Genomic DNA, 18,183 nt, shown 5'->3' on the forward strand with positions numbered 1-18,183 from the left:
TTCAGAATCCACACACCACCTGGTGGCTCCTTTTATTATATCAATTTATTCAAGTGATTAAAAAACTTCTTGGCAGCAGGATGACAAAACAGGTCTGTAAACATGATCTCATCCCCCCATCCCTTCTTCCAAGGAGCTTCCTATGACAGGAAATCGAATTCTAGTTGGCAAATCCAGTGATGAGGTCTGTAGAAAAGGGGTCCCGTGTCACAGCCAGGAAGGCAGACTCGTCCCTTTAACCCACTCCAGCCAGGGGTGCTGGCCAGGATGTGCTGTTCTGTCATGACGTGGTCACTGAGTCTGGTTCGTTGGCAGCCCCTTCCCCAGGAGGAGGGAGACTCTTTGGCAGTGCGGCAGCCCTCCCGGGGGCACGGGCTTCTCGGCAGCAGACACAGGCAGGCCAGAAGCAGGCAGCTGAGCCTCTCCAGCGAGCATGGTATTGCTAGGGTTGCAGGTGCCCTGGCAGGTGGCCAGGTGAGGGGCTGAGGCACAAGTGCTATCAGGAACTTGGCTGCCCCACAGGGGCTGAGGACACCCAGATGGTCCACGCCAGTGGCCTTGAAATTTCCCCTGCAGAAGCCAGACCGTGGGGAAACAAGCTTTCGCGACGTGCCACCCCGGGCAGCTTGAGGCTTCAGTCCTTGAAGGGGTTGTGGGCGCCCCCTGGCTGCTCCTTCTCTGCGGCCAGAGGCTCCCCGTTCATCTCCTGCAGCGGGTGGTATGCATAGTCCCCATGCAGGCGCCGGTTCCTCTCTGCTCTGGACAGGAGCAAGGACAGGTTTGCTGCAGTGCTGATCAGCAGGAGGAAGGCCAGCGCCAGGGTGAGGGCTAGCCAGGCGGTCCTGCAGACAGGAGAGAAGCCCCAAGTGGGGGACTGCTGGGTGGGCTCAGGGCTTGGGTAGCACTGGAGGGGCTTCCCTCTACCCGGCATAGATAGCACTAAATCAGGTGCCTCCAGGGACCACACAGGGAATGTTATGAGCAAAATGGACTAGGTGGGGATGGGGCAACATTTAAGACATGTGCAGGGAACAGCAGAGGCAGTCATGACGTACAATGCAGGTCCGTGCTGCCCCATCTCCTGATTTTTTTTTTTTTTTTTTGAGACAGAGTCTCGCCCTGTCATCCAGGCTGGAGTGCAGTGGCATGATCTCAGCTCACTGCAATCTCCGCCTCCTGGCTTCAAACGATTCCCCTGCCTTGGACTCCCGAGTAGCTGGGACTACAGGCTCGAATCACCACGCCTGGCTAATTTTCGTATTTTCAGTAGAGACCAGGTTTCACCATGTTGGCCAGGCTGGTCTTGAACTCCTGACCTCAAGTGATCCACCTGCCTCGGCCTCCCAAAGTGCTAGGATTACAGGCGTGAGCCACCACGCCTGGCCTGATATTTTAAGAGAAGCCATTAAAAAGGTTTTTAAGGCTGGGCGTGGTGCTCATGCCTGCAATCCCAGCACTTTGTGAGGCTTAGGCGGGCGTATCACTTGAGGTCAGGAGTTCAAGACCAGCCTGGCCAACATGGCGAAATCCTGTCTCTACTAAAAATATGAAAATTAGCCGGGCACCTGTAATCCCAGCTACTCAGGAGACTGAGGCAGGAGAATTGCCTGAACCCAGGAGGCGGAGGTTGTGGTGAGCTGAGATCGCACCACTGCACTCCAGCCTAGGCAACAGAGTGAGACCCCGTCTCAAAAAAAAAAGTTTAAAAAAATGTGAATGTTACTGATTTTTAGATGCTGCTGATATATTTTAACTTTTTAAAAATTATGTAAGCCAAATAAAACACAGCTGGATGCTGGGCATGGGGGCTGGGAGGCCAAGGTGGGAGGATCACTTGAGCCCAGGACTGTGCACCTCGTCTGTGCAAAATAGTGAGATCCTATCTCTAAAAAACAGTAAGAAATAAAATTAGCCGGGCATGGGGGCACGTGCCTGTCGTCCTAGCTACTTGGGAGGCTGAGGCGGGAGGATCGCAGTGAGCTGACTGTACTACAGCACTTCTGCCTGGGTGACAGAATGAGGAAACCTCCTGCCCCCACCCTGGGATCTCATCTAGCCCAGTTTGCATTCTGAGCTCCAGTGGGGGATGCTGACAACAGAGGCTGGGCACTCGAAGGCCCTGGGCTCTGCTCCAGGGTCCCCAAAGCAGACAGTGGGGAGAGCTGGTCCCGCTTCCTCTAAGGCAGGGAGCTGGCAGGGGACAAGGGCAGAGATGGACCTCACAGGGGAAGGGTGCGGGAGAGAAGGGGGATTCCTCCCGCCCTGGCCCCAGCTCCCACAGAAGCACCTACCTGGTGAAAAAGGAGAGTTCTCCCGCCCTCAGGGTGGCTTCAGGTGGCTGGAGACACTGCTTTACTGTAACATACCAGAGACAGGCTGAAGGGGCCGGAGCAGGAGCGTCTGCCCATACCCCTCCCCTTGGAGGGATAGGTACCTCTGGAGACGCTGCAGTTGCCAGTCTTGGGGTCACAGGGACAATGGTGCTCACACTTACAAGGCCTCTGGCAGCCCGGCCCATGCCAGCCAAGGGGACACTCTATGGAAAGGAGATGGGAGGAGGGAGGAGGGAGGAGAAAGGTTGGGGCCTCCAGTGTCAGAGCCTTTCTCGACAGGACAGGATACCTGCCCCTGCCCATGTGTACAGAGCCGGGCTAAAGGTGAAGCACCCCCTGCCCTCCCTGGACTAGCCCCTGAACGTGACCTTATTTGGAAGCAGAATCTCTACAGAGGCACTGCAGTTAGGATCTCAAGATAAGACCGTGCTGGATTTGAGGTGGGCCCTGGAGCCAGAGCCCGGGGACCCTTGTTTTAGCCGAGCCCTTTGTGGAACGGGCCGCAGCAGCCACAGGGGAGTCACACAGTGATGTGCAGGTGAGGCCGGGGCAGAAGACAAGAGGCAAGCATTTCCCAGACCAGAAGGTGGAGACAGAAGCAGCAGAGGAGCAGTGGGGGCTGCCGGGGGCCACCGTCTCCCCATCCGCTAGTGGCGTGGCAGCTCCTACCTTCACTGCAGTTGGACCCGGTCCATCCGGCATCACAGCGGCAGCCGGCTGCCGAGACAAGACCGGGGAGGCCAGGTGAGGGCCTAGGGCAAGGCAGGGCTGGGCAGAGCCCCCTCCCCAGAACCCCCACTCACTCTCCGTGCACAGTCCGTGCTGGCTGCAGTTAGAGGGGCCACAGTCCAGCTCATCACAGCCGGGACCCCGCCAGAAGTGCCCGGTGCATTGGCAGTGCCCGTCCACGCAGGTCCCGTGGCCGTGGCAGTCAGGCGGCTGGCAGCGGGGTTCGTGCACACACACCACGGTGGACACTTGGCGGGGACAGCGCCACATGTTGTCCTGGCTGTAGAGGGATGTGATGTGTGAGGAGAGGACACCCCCAGACGGCCCCTCAACTCCCTCCAGGCTGCCCCCAACCACCCCTCTCTCCATTCTCACCTGTCTACCTACCTACCTACAAGATGGCGTCTATCTATTTTTGAGATGAGGTATTGCGATCCTTCCACCCGAGCCTCCTGAGCAGCTGTAACCGTAAGGTGTGCACCATCACGCCTGCCTAATTTTTTTTTATTTTTTCATAAAGACAGGGTCTATGTTGCCCACACTGGTCTTAAACTCCTGGGCCCAAGCGAACCTCCCACCTCGGCCTCCCAAAGCACTGGGATTCCAGGCGTGAGCCCCTGTGCCCAGCCCTCTCCAGTCTTTTATAGGTTCCTCCGCTCCCTACAATCCCTCCCAGCCCTGGGCCTTTCACATGTGGTGCCCTCTGCCCGGAAGGCTCTCCCACCCCCACCCAGCTACCACCTCCTTCAGATCTCAGTTCTTATTCTGTCATCCTCAGGGAGGTCTTTGCTGACCAACTGACCCTGCTCCTAGGCCTGGGTAGTACTGGCATCCTGGGGGAGGGACTGCAGCAATTTCTGCTCTCTTGAACCCCCGGGGCCTGGCACATAGCAGGCACTCAATATTGGCTGAATGAGACAGGCTGGGGCAGACCTGGACTTCAGCCCTCACGAAGGCGGCTCTCACGTGCTTACCAGTGATCTGACGGGTAACTGGCCAAGGTCCCGTTGAGCACAAAGGTGGCAGAGCCACCCCCATCCAGGTTGATGGCGTTGACCACGTCCTGTTTCAGCAGGAACTCCGCCATTTCCCACAGGTTGATGCTGCGGCACAAAGCGGCGCTGCTCAGGCTCAGCGCCCACCATCATTTCTCATTTAACTCCTTTTCCTTCCACAGTGCAGAGCATCACGCCCACAGTGCAGGCACATTTCTAAGTGGCCCCCGCCCCCAAGCATGTCTCATCCTAGCCCCCGGAAGCTGTGAACACGTGAGATCACACCCATGCCTGTGCTGTTACATGGCATAGGAATCCTTAAGGGAGGGGAAACGGCCCGGAGGATCTGGGTGCAGCCACTGGAATCACAGGAGTGTTCAACACAGAGAGCCTTCTCTGGCTGGTGACAGAATAGGAAGTGAGATTTGAAATACGAGGGGGATGAGAGGGTGGCCGGACAACTGGGGGAGAGGACACACATGGGAAGGAACCTGGGCAGCTTGAAGGAGCTGAGGCCCCAGATGGCGGCCAGCAGGGAAACCAAGACCTCAGTCACAACTGAGGAGGCGACGGGGATTCTTCCAACAACCTAAACAAGAGGATTCTTTCCAGATAAGAGAAGAGCCCTGCCTAACCAGCATCTTGGTTTTGTCCATGGGACACCCTGAACATAGAACATTCCAAGTTGACCAGCCTGGCCAACATGATGAAACCCTGTGTCTACTAAAAATACAAAAATTAGCCAGGTGCGGTGACTCACGCCTGTTAATTCCAGCACTTTGGAAGGCCGAGGTAGATGGATCACCTGAGGTCAGGAGTTCGAGACCAGCCTGGCCAACATGATGAAACCCCATCTCTACTAAAAATACAAAAATTAGCTGGGTGTGGTGGCGGGTGCCCGTAATCCCAGTTACCTGGGAGGCTAAGGTGGGAGGATCACCTGAACCTGAGAGGTAGAGGTTGCAGTGAGCTGAGATTGCACCACTGCACTCTGGCCTGGGCGACGGAGTAAGACCCTGTCTCAAAGAAACAAACAAACAAAAGAACATTCCCTGCTGAGTGTTGCTAAATTTGTGCTGGTTATGCAACCAGAGCAAACCAAAACACTCTCTTTACAGGGGCTAGAAATGAGGCTCAGGGAGGCCGAGGGACTTGTCTACGGCATAGGTGGGTAGACAAGTCATCGATGGCTAAGCTGGGATTGGAACCAAGATCTTCTCCCTGCTCACTTTGTGACCATTTCCTTGTATCCTATCTAGGGTTCAGGAAAGGTGAGGCCTAAAGCTGAAGATGATGAGTTCTTGGAATCGGCAAAGATCTCAGAACCCTCATCCTGTGGGAAGGTGAGGGGGCCCTGGGAGGGGGGACAGATAGGTGTCAACATCCCAGAAAGCAGGTAGAGTCAGAGGGTGGCTGTCATTGGGTCAACGTTCCTCCTAGCAGGACTGAGCCCCGGCCGGGGGGCCTCAGCTCCCAGGACTCACCCACGCTGCTCCGTTTGGCCGTCTGCATGAAAGAGCACCAGCTGCCCTTTCCGGTCGTGGCCAATGGCCGTCCTGGCTGATATCACATTCACAAATTTGCTAAAGGAACCTGAAGGAAAAGCAGCCTGGCTGATCACCGCCCCTTGGGAGGCCTCCTGCTTCTTGCCTAACTCCACTTCCCACTGGTCTGAGCTACCTGGTACCTCCCTGGGAAGCACAGCAGCCTCCTTGCTCGTCTCCCTGCCTCCCCTCTGCACATCCCAGTCTCCCCAGGGCAGCCGGGGGGTCTCTTCTTACAGGTAAACCAAGCTATGCCAGCCTCCAGGTGAAGACCCTCTAATGGTTTCCCCTGTTCTTAGAACAAAATCCAAAGAGCCAGCATGCCCTCCCCAGCCTCTTCCTCCTCCTGCCTCAGCTCCTGGGTGTCCCCTCACCACCCTGCAGCCACTTTGCACTTCCTGTTCCCTCTGGCTGGGAACTGTGCTTTTCTCTAGCTTGCTCCTTTGTCAGATCACCTCCTTAGTGAGGCCTTCCTTGACCGCCCACTCTTTTTTTTTTTTTGAGACAAAGAGTCTCGCTGTGTTGCCCGGGCTGGAGTGCAGTGGCATGATCTCAGCTCACTGCAACCTCCACCTCCCAGGTTCAAGCAATTCTCATGCTTCAGCCTCCCAAGTAGCTGGGACTACAGGCACACACCACCATGCCTGGCTAATTTTTGTATTTTTTTTTTTTGTAGAGATAGGTCTCACTATGTTGCCCAGGCAGGTCTTGAACTCCTGGGCTCAACCGATCCTCCCGCCTCGGCCTCCCAAAGTGCTGGGATTATAGGTGTTAGCCACCACACCTAGCTTACTGCCCACTCTAAAATGGTCATGGTATCCTGTCCCCATCCCAGTATTCTGCATCCCAGTGGTTCTCAACCTTGAGTGTCGGTCAGAGTCACCATGGAGGCCCGTTAAAACATAGACTCTTGGGCCTTGCCTCTGATTCTGCAGGTCTGAGGGTGTGGGGCTTTGAAACAAGCTCCTGGGCCACGCCGATGTTGCAGGTCCATGAAGATTTTTTTCTCTTCACTTTTCTCTTCCTGTACCCACAGCTCCGGTCCCCATCTCTCCCCTTTCCCCTAACTTTATTTTTGTTTCTGAGCACTTATCAATTCTTTTCAGCATATTCTATAACTATTTTTTGTCCTATATATTCAATATAAGCCTATCTTCCTCCCCATGAATCCCCAGTACCCAGAATAGTGCTGGGCACAAAGTAGCTGCTCAATACTTGTTGAAAGACTTAAGAACAGCTCCGCCCAGCCCACTGGTCCTGGTTCTCGAGAGGGTTGTTGCCAACAGCCTCCCCATCCAACCTGTCTCCTGTGTCTCGTCACACTCTGTGGCTTGGCTCTCGTTGATGTAGATGCTTCCATTACGAATCAGCCACACGACCCCACTCAGCAGCTGCACAAATGGGTTCTCAGTGTCCAGCACCTCCTCCTCAGACAGGTACCTGGATCCGGGGAAGGTGGGAAGCTCACTCACCAGCAGGGGCAACTGCAGATAGTCAGGCTCTTTCTCCCTAGCCATCCCAACCTGGCTGCTAGATTCCCCCTCATGCCCCAGGAACCTCCTGGGGCCTGAGTGTAGCTGGGACAACTTAACAGCCCTAGGAATCTCCCTGTTGTCAGAGCTGAAGCTGGACAGGGTTCTGACAATACAATCCCCACAAGCCTTTGCAAACAGTCTGTTTCATTTAACAGAAATGACCATCCCCCAACAGAGCTCAAATCCATCTATGGCCCTCAATCCCCAGGCCATACCCAGCCCAACTACCACTTGATCCCTGTTACGGCCCTTCATTGGCTTCCTTGTTTCTCCACTGCTCTCTCCCACCTGGTCCCACTCAGGATCAGAACAAGCTTTATCATCAACAAATACTTTTTTTTTGAGACTCAAATAATTTTTAAGATAATTTTAAATAATTCAAATCATCAATCTTGCCAGGGCGTGGTGGCTCACACCTGTCATCCCAGCACTTTGGGAGGCTGAGGTGGGTGGATCACTTGAGGTCAGGAGTTCGAGACCGGCCAGGCCAATATGGTGAACCCACTCCCCCGTTCCCCACCCCATCCCGTCTCTACTAAAAATACAAAAATCAGCCGGGCGTGGTGGCACACGTCCGTAGTCCCAGCTACTCCAGAGGCTGAGGCAGGAGAATCGCTTGAACCCGGGAGGCAGAGGTTGCAGTGAGCCGGTATCATGCCACTGCCCTCCATCCTGGGCAACAGAGCAAGACTCTGTCTCAAAAAAAAAAAAATCATCAGTCTTGATGAGTTGATGTTTCTGACACCCCACTCCTTTTTCAGTCCCTCATACACACAAGCCCCCCTGAGCCTCTGAGCCTTTGTGCGTGGGGTTCCTTTGGACTGAAACGCTCTTCCTCCAGTTCTGACCTTGGCTCACTTAGTGATTCATCTTCAAGTTCCCACTCAAAGGTCACCTCGGAGAGGCGTGTTCCAGATCACCCTCCCTAAAATCAACACTATTTACAACGGGTTCACCCCGTTGGTTGCTTTGCTGCACACACAGCAATCAGAATGTATGTTAGCTATTTACCCGGCTTTTGTTGATTTTTCTAGTAATGGGGGAGGGCTGTTAAGGCAAAGACTGTGTTGTTCACGGCTATCTCACCGGGGCGCGGCACATTGCCTGATACAAGCAAGTGCTCAATGATACTGGATGATGAATAAACTCTGCAAGGAAGCGATTCCTATCCCCATTCTGCAGAGGAGGAAACAGGGGCTCAGCTTGGTTAAGTGACTTGAACACGGAGGCACGGCTACAACCCAAATCTCAGGCCCTCTGCCCTCGACAGCACGGGGCTCCCTGCCTCCTCACCCGGTGACCAGGGTCCCGTCGCGGCGGATCCCGAACTGCGCGTTCTGCAGCCCCCCGGAGCTGCTCACCCGCCGCTCGTCGCTCACCACGTTCCCCAGGCACTCGCCCGAGTTCATGCGGAAGAAGCCGCCGTTCTGGGCGACACGGCAGTCGGCCGCCCGCGCCGTCTCCTCCACGGTGGCGCGTCGTCTCGCCGCGCAGCCGCCGGGTCCACCGGGCTCCAGCACCGAGAAGGTGCGCAGGGGCTCAACGGCCCGCGTCAGGTGGCCGGCCACCGCGCGGTCCCTGAAGTGCGACACGAAGGTGCGCACGGCCAGACCGCCGGCGCCGGGAGTCGCGGGAGGCGGAGGCCAACTCTCGTGCTCGCGGTTGCCGGCGCGCACCCGTGTGCAGTCCCGGGGGAGGCGCGCGCGCGCGCGTGGATAGGGCAGTAGCAAGTCGTCGTCGCGGGAGGCCCTGCGGGGACGGGCGGCCGTGAGCTCAGGGGGCTGTCCTCGTGAGCTCGGAGGACAGGGGGGACCCCCCGAACCAGGCTGGCCCAGGGAGCTGCACTCACCCCGAGTCGAGGCCGCCGGACGCTTCCCAGAGGAAGCCGAATAGTGCAAGCCGGAGGAGAAGCCAGCGACCCGTGGAGGTCGCCATATTGGACCGGGGCCTCGGGTCATGTGGGCTCGCCTCACGTGACTCAAGTCCCAGGGTGGCCGCTTTCAGCTCGGACTGAATTACCTGCGCTCTTTTCGGCTGGCGGGCTGGCGGGCGGTGCTGGTGATGTTAACTTTTTATCTCCAGGTAATCTCAAACCTACAGGAAGTTGCAAGGAGAGCATAAAGAACTCTCGTAGAACTGTTATTCATGTTTAGCAGTGGTTTAGGCTTGCCTGATTTACTCAATCATTTGTACTTTGTTTTTTTTTTTTCCTGAACCAATGGCAACCAAATTGCAGATGTCATGATCCTTTACCCCATACCTCGCCATGAATCTCCTAAGAACAAGGGCATTTTCTTAACCACAGGGCAAATATCATTAGGACAACTCCCATTGACATTTCTGTGATGTCATCCACAGCTAACCTTCAATTGTCCCTCTAATGTCTTTTTTTTTCTTTTCCTTTTTGTCCGCCCCTGACCCTGTAACCCAGGAGTTGCTTTTAGTTGTCATGTCTCTTTGATCTCTTCATCTGGAAGGCTCCTCAGCCTTTTGTCTTTTACTACCTTGACATTTTTGAAGACAGCCCAGCTACATGATTTGTGTGACTCAATGCAAAATGAAAACGTGGGGACACTTACTAAAAAACCCAGAAAACTATTAAGAATTTCAAGATGGTCAGAGCAAATGGTTGCAGCAAGCCAGGGACCTTCTGAGTGAGCCCATGAAGCTGGCCCTGAGTATAGAAGCCAGTTTATTTTGTAGCATGTACTTCAAGCTTCCTTTGAGAGGATTCTTCTCTTCAGGCCTCCTGTCCCAGTGCAGTGTCCAGGGTTGGGTGGTGTCTTGGTGCCAGTGCAGTGCGTGGGCCATTCCAGGAGCCACGGCAAGTCTAATTGGCTTGATACTGTTGCGGTCTTGCCAGTGCACCTTAATATAGCAGTTTCTCCTTGTCTGAACTAGTCCCGGGGTTCTTTGTCCTACCTCCAAGAAAACTAAGGAGCGTGGACACAAGGGTGGGGTTGGAGCGAACGTTTAATAAGGGAAAGAAGAAAGCTCTCCAAAGTGGAGACGGGAGTCCGAGTGGATTGTCGGGTTACAGCTGAATGCAAAAAGCTTTTTTTTTTTTTTTTTTTAAGACAGAGTTTTGCTCTTGTCACCCAGGCTGGAGTGCAATGGTGCGATCTTGGCTCACTGCAACCTCAACAACCTCTGCCTCCTGGGTTCAAATGATTCTCCTGCCTCAGCCTCCCGAGTAGCTGGGATTACAGGCACACGTCACTGCGCCCTGCTAATTTTTGTATTTTGGGTAGAGACGAAATTTTACCATGTTGGCCAGGCTGGTTTCAAACTCCTGACCTCAGGTGATCCGCCTCCTTCCGCCTCCCAAAGTGCTGGGATTACAGGCGTGAGCCACTGTGCCTGGCCGCAAAAAACTTTTATAGGACACTGCTCTCCTCCTGGTAACTGAGTAACTTCTTACCAGTAAAACTGCCTGTGCAGCTCCCCTTATGTTATGCAGCTGTGGGTATGTCTCTAGGCAAGTGCAAATCGCTGCTTCTCTTGTTTGTGTAACTGTGGGTTTGTTTTAGATAAGGCCCCCTCCTCCCTGTGCCGGTTTCCATGGAGCCCACTGTGTATATGCCTGAAAAGGAGAGGAAACTTTTTCCCGGGAGCCTGCTAATTATGCAAAGAACAAAGGGCTTCTGCGCTGGACCCTGTCTGCTTATCTCCGTGCAGGTCCAGCCTGAGTTTTTTCCCAGGTTGCTTTATTTTTGCCAGTTTCTATGACTTTTCAGGCAGGCCACTTCTGAGGTCAGAATTTTCCCCAACGGATTTTTCTTTTCCTTCTCCCTCACTACCACAGGTATGGGGGGACACAGATAGGGGCCAGGCCAGCCCCTTTTCATCCACAGTCAGCACTTCTGGTGCTTGATCTCAGGCCCCTCTTTGAGCCACTGCTCCTTTGAGCCAGTCCACGGTGAGGGTTAGTGAACTCAGTTAGAGAGTGTCCCCCCAAACTCATGTCCTTACCAGAACCTCAGAATGTGAACTTGTTTGGAAATTGGGTCTTTGCAGATGTAATTAGTTAAGATGAGGTCATTCTGGAGTAGGGTGGGCCCTGAATCCAATCTGACTGGTGTTCTTGTAAAAGACACAAATACACACAGAGGAAAGAAGCTCATATGAACACAGGCAGAGATTGGACTGATGCAGTCATAAGTCAAAGAATGCAAAGAAGGCTAGCAGCCACCAAGAGCTAGGAGAGAGGCGTGGGAGAGACTCTTGAGCTTTGACAGAGAACATGGCCATGCTGATGCCTTGCTTTTGGAAACTAATACAATTCAGGGACCTCAAAGGGGTCCCGGGAACAGCTCTGACGCTCCTAGTTCACTTTAACCATGTACAAAATGACTGCTCCTCCTAGAGGCTTAAATGACCAATATATTGATGTGAAGGGAGTATATCTTTCTGAGCTTTGCATTGGGCTGCTAAAAATAACCAGCAGAGGAGCCCAGGCCTGACGCCTACTCCCTGCCTCCGGAAGCGCTCTTTTTTTCTGCCTCAGTTAGGAGTTGCAGGAACAGGCAGTCTTTGGCAAGTTCTGACTTTGGTTTTCTCCCTACTTTGAGGTTTGCTACTCCTTTGCCAAGTTTTTCTAAGCACATAACGGGTGCCACAGAAATTCTGCATTTGAACAGAGCAGCCCATATCCACAGTTCTAGCCAAAGCTGCTAAGAAGCCAAGGGTTTTCTTTTTTGCTCTTCAGCCTGGAATACTTTTGTCCCCTCTTAGCATCCTCATTTGAGTTCTACCATCATTTGTGTGTTCAACAGGCTGAGCACCTCGTATGTGCTCCGTTGCAGCTGATCCCTGCCTTCATGGAGCTTAGCTTTTCAAGGGGAAACAGACATGAAACAGTTATGTGATGAATGCAAGAAGCAAAGGGCAGGACTGCGAGAGAAGGATGTTGCAGGTGTGGCAGGGAAGCCTCTCCAAGCCCCTTTAGACTGTGATTGAAGGAAAGAAAAGATGCGGCTGTGTGCAGATCTGGGCCAGAGCCTGAAGTGGGAAACAGCTTGGGAGGTGCAGCAGGAAGAGCCACCTGGTGGGAGAGGAGGGCCGTGGGGGAGGGGTTGGAGGTGGTGAGCAGGGTTGAAGTGGGAGGGCCAAGGCAAGGCCAGATCGTACATGCAGGGATCCAGGGAAATGAGTATGGATTTCAGCCAAAGTGAAATAGTAAGCCATTGGAAGGTTTTTTTTTAAACTTTATTAAGATAAAATTTACATACTGTAAAATTCTCCTAAGTGTACAATGCAATGATTTGTAGTAAATGCACAGCGATATTCCAGCATCACCATTATCCAGTTTTAGGATTTTTTTTATCACCCAAAAAAGTTTTGTTATGTAATTCTATTATTATTTAGAGACAGGATCCCATTCTGTTGCCCAGACTGGAGTACAGTGGTGCAATCATCGCTCACTGCAGCCTCGACTTCTTGGGCTCAAGCAGTCCTCCCACCTCAGCCTCCTGAGTAGCTGGGACTACAGGTGTGTACTACCACACCAGGCTAGTTTATTTATTTATTTTTAGATGGAGTCTCACTCTGTTGCCTAAGCTCGAGTGTAGATTGAAATGGCCTGATCTTGGCTCACTGCAACCTCAGCCTCCCAGGTTCAAGCGATTCTCCTGCCTCAGCCTCCTGAGTAGCTGGGATTACCGGGGTGTGCCAACACGCCCGGCTAATTTTTGTATTTTTAATAGACACAGGGTTTCACCATATTGGCCAGGCTGGTCTTGAACTCCTGACCTCAAGTGATCCACCCCCGTTGGCCTCCCAAAGTGTTAGGATTATAGGCGTGAGCCACTGTGCCCGGCCCGAAAGTCATTTTTGTAAAACTCTTAGGAAATGGAAACGTCAAAGGATCAATTTCTTCTGTCCGTGCTGTGTATAGTATCTGTTGTGTAAAGGGCTGGGAGGGCATTAACAGCATCCCAGAAACTGGCGTTGAGGTTCTGAGGGGCAGGAGATTCTGTCATAGGCTGCGTGTCTGGTAGGTGGCCCCCACGTCCAGTTGGGTACATTAGGGGTGCCCCTCATCCCATGTGGACTTGCAGGGTGGTGTGGGGGCTGCCAGCTGGGCAGACCAGACTCAAGCACGCTCACAGCCCAAGGTCCCTTCCACCAGCTAAGACCTGGACAAAACATCTCCAGGTGCCTCTTTTTTCTTTTTCTTCATTTTTTCTATTTAATTCAGCAAATATTTTTTAAACATTTCTATGTTCCAGGCTGTATAGTAGGAGCCAGGCACCTGAAGAGGAGCAAGACATCGTCTGTGCCCTAAAGTCATTCACAATCTGAAAATAGAGTTGACAAGCACACAAACGAAGCCAGAGTGAGCTGCCACAGAGCAGTGTAGGGAATGAGATGGGCAAGTAGGTGTGAGGAGGGGAGGAGGCTTCACAGAACAAGGGACAACCTTGGGGAATCTTTTTTTTTTTTTGAGACGGAGTCTCGCTCTGCCGCCCAGGTTGGAGTGCAGTGGCGCCATCTCAGCTCACTGCAAGCTCCGCCTCCCAGGTTCATGCCATTCTCCTGCCTCAGTCTGCCAAGTAGCTGGGACTACAGGTGTGTGCCACTACGCCCGGCTAATTTTTGTATTTTAGTAGAGAAGGGGTTTCACCATGTTGGTTGGCCAGGATGGTCTCAATCTCTTGACCTCGTGATCTGCCTGCCTCGGCCTCCCAAAGTGCTGGGATTACAGGTGTGAGCCACTGCCCCCAGCCAATCACGGGGAATCTTAAAGGACAAATCCAATTTAACCAGATTGGGGGTGGGGGCAGATTCGCAATTGCAAAAATGTGGAACCAGCCCAAATGCCAATCAATGAGTGGATAAACATCATATATATATGATGGAATACTACTCAGCCATAAAAAGAAATGAATGAATGGCATTCGCAGCCACCTGGATGGGATTGGAGACTATTATTCTAAGTGAAGTGACTCAGGAATGGGAGACCAGACATCACACGTTCTCACTCATAAGTGGGAGCCAAACTGTGAGGATGCAAAGGCATAAGAATGATACAATGGGGCCAGGCGCGGTGGCTCCCACTTGTAATCCTAGCATTTTGGGAAGCTGAGGTGGGTGGATCACCTGAAGTCAGGAGTTTGAGATTGGCCTGGTCAACATGGTGAAACCCCGTGTCTATTAAAAATACAAAAATTAGGCCAGGTGCAGTGGCACATACCTGTAATCCCAGCACTTCGGGAGGCTCAGTTGGGTGGATTGACTGAGCTCAGGAGTTCGAGACCAGTCTGGGAAGCACGGTGAAACCCCATCTCTGCTAAAGCACAAAAAATTAGCCAGGCGTGGCGGTGTGCACCTGTAGTCACAGCTACTCAGGAGGCTGAGGCAGGAGAATTGCTTGAAGCCGGGAGGCGGAGGTTGCAGTGAGCCCAGATCGCACCACTGCACTTCAGCCTGGGGGACAGAGCAAGACTCTGTTTCAAATAAACAAACAAACAAAAAAACCCCCAAAATTAGCCGGGTGTGGTGGCGCGTGCCTGTAATTCCAGCTACTCAGGAGGCTGAGGCACAAGAATTGCTTGAACCCAGCAGGCGGAGGTTGCGGTGAGCCGAGATCGCACCACCACTGCACTCCAGCCTCAAAAAAAAAAAAAAAGTTACAGTGGAATTTGGGAACTCGGGTGGGGAAGAATGGGAAGGAGGTGAGGGATAAAAGACTATAAATTGGTTTCAGTGTATACTGCTCAGGTCCTGGGTGTACCAAAATCTCTCAAATCACCACTCACGTAACCAAATACCACCTATTCCCCAAAAATCTATGGAAATAAAAAATGAGAAAGAAAGAGAATAGGTGAAGACCCAGAAAAAGCAAGGATACTGGTGGGACATTGCCCAAGTCAGTCTTCCTGGCTCTGGTGGGTGAGGGGGCAGAAGCTTAGCCACTGAGAGATGGGAGTGGGGAAGCAGTCATGAAAGGGTGGCTTGAACTCGCCCCAGCTCTCACCAATCCCTTCCCCGCCCTCTCTTGCTCTCTCAGACCTCATTCCAAGCAACAGTTCTGCAGATACTGTTCTCACAACTCCTTCACACTAAAGCTACATGATGGAGAAAGTCTTAACTCATTCCGTTTCCTGTGTATATTTACATCTTAAGAGGAAACACTTTCAACCAGGCATGGTGGCTCATGGCTGTAATCCCAGCAGAGGCAGGAGGATTGCTTGAGCCCAGGAGTTCCAGGCCAGCCTGGGCAACACACCAAGACCCCCGTCTCTTTAAAAAAAAAAAAAAAAAAAAAAGGGCCAGGCATGCTGGTTCATGCCTATAATCTCGGCTCTTTGGGACGCCAAGGCGGGTGGATCACCTGAGGTCAGGAGTTCGAGACCAGCCTGGCCAACATGGGGAAACACTGTCTCTACTAAAAATACAAAAATTAGCCGGGTGTGGTGGCACGTGCCTGTAATCCTAGCTACTCAAGAGGCTGAGGCAGGAGAACCGCTTGAACCCAGGAGGTGGCGGTTGTAGTGATCTGAGATTATGCTACTGCACTCCAGCGTGGGTGACAGAGTCAGATCCTGTCTCAAAAAAAAAAAGGAAAAACTTTAAGAACATGATGACTTAATGGAATTACTTGTTTACAGTAGGATTTTATACCTTGAGCCGGGAGCCGGAAGGAATGCACTTTTGACCAAGGATTGTGGCAGGGGCACATAGAGCCACCGTGGGCTGGGTGCTTCCACCAATGAGGGCCTCTCTCTCGGGGTGTGTATTTGGGGGGCAGGGAAAGAAGGCCTTGATGAAGCCCTGAGGTGGGGTTTGTGCCGGGGGAACCTGCTTTTCCATCCCTCTCTCATTTAACTCCAAGTCCCAAGCCTCCTTTCCTCCCTGTCTTCCTCCCACCCGCTCCAAACAATCTGCCTGTGACTGGTTTTTCTGCTCTCTGTGCTACTTGAACAGGAGGCTGTCAGGAGCTGTTCTGCTCCAACGAGGAGAACCATTGACTCATTTGTGGGTGCTCCTTGTCTTGACCTCGAGTTTTGTTTCAAGCCCTTTGGAGGGTTCCCTCTTTTTTTCTTTTGAGACAAGTTCTCGCACTGTCACCCAGGCTGGGATGCAATGGCATGATCATAGCTCACTGCAGCCTCAATCTCCCAAGTCTCAAGTGATCCTCCTGCCTCAGCCTCCCAAGTAGCTGGGACCACAGGCACGGGTCACCATGCCCAGCTGATTTTTGTGTTTTTTTGTGGAGATGGATTTTTCTCATGTTGCCCAGGCAGGTCTCCGAATCCTGAGCTCAGGCAATCCGCCCACCTCGGTCTCCCAAAGTGCTGGGATTCTAGGCATGAGCCACTGCGCCTGGTCATATGAGAGGGCATTTGAGCAGAGACTGGGGCAAAGTGGAGTGTGAGCCACGTGGATGTCAGGGGAAAAGTATTCAGAAAGATAGGAGAGCCTTGCAAGGGACGTGAACTCCATGTGGGCTGGATGTGTGTGCTGAGTGGATAAATTCCAGGGAGTTTTTGGGCTACAGTTGGGCTGTGGCATGCCACTGAGAAAGTTCTTTTTGTGTTTGTTTGTTTTTGCTTTTTTGAGATGGAGTCTTGCTCTGTCACCCAGGCTGGAGTGCAGTGGCATGATCTTCCCTCACGGCAGTCTCTGCCTCCCAGGTGCAAGCGATTCTCCTGCTTCAGTTTCCCTAGTAGCTGGGATTACAGGCGAGAGCCACCACGCATGGCTAATTTTTGTATTTTCAGTAGAGATGGGGTTTCACCATGTTAGCCAGGCTGGTCTTGAACTTCTGACCTCAAGAGATCCGCCCACCTTGAGAACGTTTTTTTTAATTTTCGGTTTCACATCGATCCTTTAAATAGAGGATCAGGCTGTGAACCAGGTCATCAGGACGGGTCATCTGCTTCCCCACGGGTGTGGTTGGGCTGCAGGGACCTTGTTGCTGAGACTAGGAACAGCTCCTTGAGGCAGGTGCTGCATTAGTTTCTGGGGCTGCTGTAGCAAGGTGCCATCAACTGGGAGGCTTAAACCACAGAAATGTATGGTCTCACCGTTCAGGAGTGCTGGGATTATAGGCATGAGCCAAGGATTGCCTTTCCTTGAAAGTGACTCATACGCTCCGCTTTCCTCCACAGTCATTTCACCCTCTCCCTGGTTTGGTAACTGAAGCCTTCTGAAATGAACCAGTGTCAGGCTCCAGTGAGGACTCCATCCCCAATTCAGGAAGCACAGAGGTGGAGCATAATCCCCCCAATTTGTTTATGTGCGGCTGACTTCTCTCAAGATGGTGTGCCTGTTTGGGAAAACTTTTGTTTGCAAGACAATGTGAAAGAAATCCTTAAAGCTCACAGACTGCTGGGTGGATATGACATTCTGGCCCTTGGTTCCCCCAAGAAAACAGCAACTTGCAGATAGCAAGTCAAACTTGTCAGCAGAATCCAGGGATGTTCCTCGAGGCCTGACAAGTTAAGAGCAATCATGGGAAGGCATTCAGAGGACCGCAGCAGAGGATCAGGTCAAGGGAAACCTACCTCCTAAAGGAAAGATCGAGAAGAACCATGCGCCCCACCACCCACCTGGGCTGCTCAGCTGGGCACAGAAGCAGCCAAGGATATTTTCATTCGGATGCTCACATATGACTGAGTTGCCACATGAGGATGATCCGTGGCGATTTTCCACCTTGAGGCAAAGCAGGACAATGCGTGTAAAGAGGTTTGCAGCCCCGGGACCGGGTTTTCAGCTGGTTTTTCTACCCCAAAGTCCAATGCGTGCAGGCTGTCATCAGCACCACAGACAGCACCAGAACCCATCATAATGTCCCAGAAGGTTTTATTGCTAAATTAGTGTCAGAGCTCCAGGGAACACATTCAGATATAGTCACACTGAGTCAGAGCTCGAGGGAAGAGCTGTAAGCTGGGAACCAGAGAACCGATGACAAGGCAGCGGCCTCTTCTGGCAGCTTCCGGAGGAGCCCCCACTTAATGGGACGTCATCACTTGAGGCAGCAGGTAACGTTTACTTGGCACTTAGTATGTTACGGGCACCATTTCCAGTATTCTAGAAACAC

At 52.6% G+C, this 18,183-nt stretch overlaps 2 protein-coding genes and 1 long non-coding RNA gene across 4 annotated transcripts in view, besides 4 other annotated features; 1 reads left to right on the plus strand and 2 right to left on the minus strand.

Moving 5' to 3' along the window:
- Positions 1-9,092, minus strand: NAGPA (N-acetylglucosamine-1-phosphodiester alpha-N-acetylglucosaminidase). The gene is made up of 10 exons (NM_016256.4): positions 8,986-9,092; positions 8,430-8,885; positions 6,902-7,041; positions 5,542-5,650; positions 4,037-4,165; positions 3,137-3,342; positions 3,003-3,050; positions 2,435-2,536; positions 2,292-2,355; positions 1-842 (listed from the first exon to the last, which is right to left on the minus strand). Exons 1-10 carry the CDS (start codon positions 9,069-9,071, stop codon positions 635-637), a joined length of 1,548 nt encoding a protein of 515 aa, NP_057340.2. The 5' UTR covers positions 9,072-9,092; the 3' UTR covers positions 1-634.
- Positions 565-859: a silencer, noted in NCBI's record as "tiled region #11332; HepG2 Repressive DNase matched - State 12:CtcfO, and K562 Repressive non-DNase unmatched - State 12:CtcfO". NCBI's record gives its function as "represses a minimal TATA promoter and a strong SV40 promoter by Sharpr-MPRA in HepG2 and K562 cells {active_cell/tissue: HepG2 | K562}" and the evidence as "EXISTENCE:reporter gene assay evidence [ECO:0000049][PMID:27701403]".
- Positions 3,604-4,803: an enhancer, noted in NCBI's record as "MED14-independent group 3 enhancer chr16:5078448-5079647 (GRCh37/hg19 assembly coordinates)". NCBI's record gives its function as "activates an origin of replication core promoter dependent on BRD2, BRD4, P300/CBP and CDK7 cofactors, and independent of MED14, by STARR-seq in HCT116 cells {active_cell/tissue: HCT116}" and the evidence as "EXISTENCE:reporter gene assay evidence [ECO:0000049][PMID:35650434]".
- Positions 8,329-8,830: an enhancer, noted in NCBI's record as "H3K27ac hESC enhancer chr16:5083173-5083674 (GRCh37/hg19 assembly coordinates)". NCBI's record gives its function as "activates a minimal SCP1, AML or CMV promoter by ChIP-STARR-seq in naive H9 embryonic stem cells {active_cell/tissue: H9 hESC(naive)}" and the evidence as "EXISTENCE:reporter gene assay evidence [ECO:0000049][PMID:30033119]".
- NAGPA-AS1 (NAGPA antisense RNA 1) lies at positions 8,859-18,128 on the plus strand. Its single transcript, NR_038913.1, has 2 exons — positions 8,859-9,218; positions 17,252-18,128. It is a non-coding gene; the product is annotated as an NAGPA antisense RNA 1 (long non-coding RNA).
- Positions 9,024-9,203: an enhancer, noted in NCBI's record as "active region_10347". NCBI's record gives its function as "activates an Ori minimal core promoter by ATAC-STARR-seq in GM12878 lymphoblastoid cells {active_cell/tissue: GM12878}" and the evidence as "EXISTENCE:reporter gene assay evidence [ECO:0000049][PMID:35858748]".
- The window catches only part of C16orf89 (chromosome 16 open reading frame 89), a 23,185-nt gene continuing 22,930 nt past the window's right edge, over positions 17,929-18,183 (minus strand). For both annotated transcript variants that reach the window (XM_005255143.4, XM_017022974.2), the window contains one exon: positions 17,929-18,173. In XM_005255143.4, coding sequence (XP_005255200.2) covers positions 18,151-18,173 — 23 coding nt within the window. In that variant the 3' untranslated portion in view covers positions 17,929-18,150. The remainder of the gene's footprint in view (positions 18,174-18,183) is intronic.

This window comes from Homo sapiens, chromosome 16, assembly GCF_000001405.40.
Source record: "Homo sapiens chromosome 16, GRCh38.p14 Primary Assembly".
NCBI classification, from domain to species: domain Eukaryota; kingdom Metazoa; phylum Chordata; class Mammalia; order Primates; family Hominidae; genus Homo; species Homo sapiens.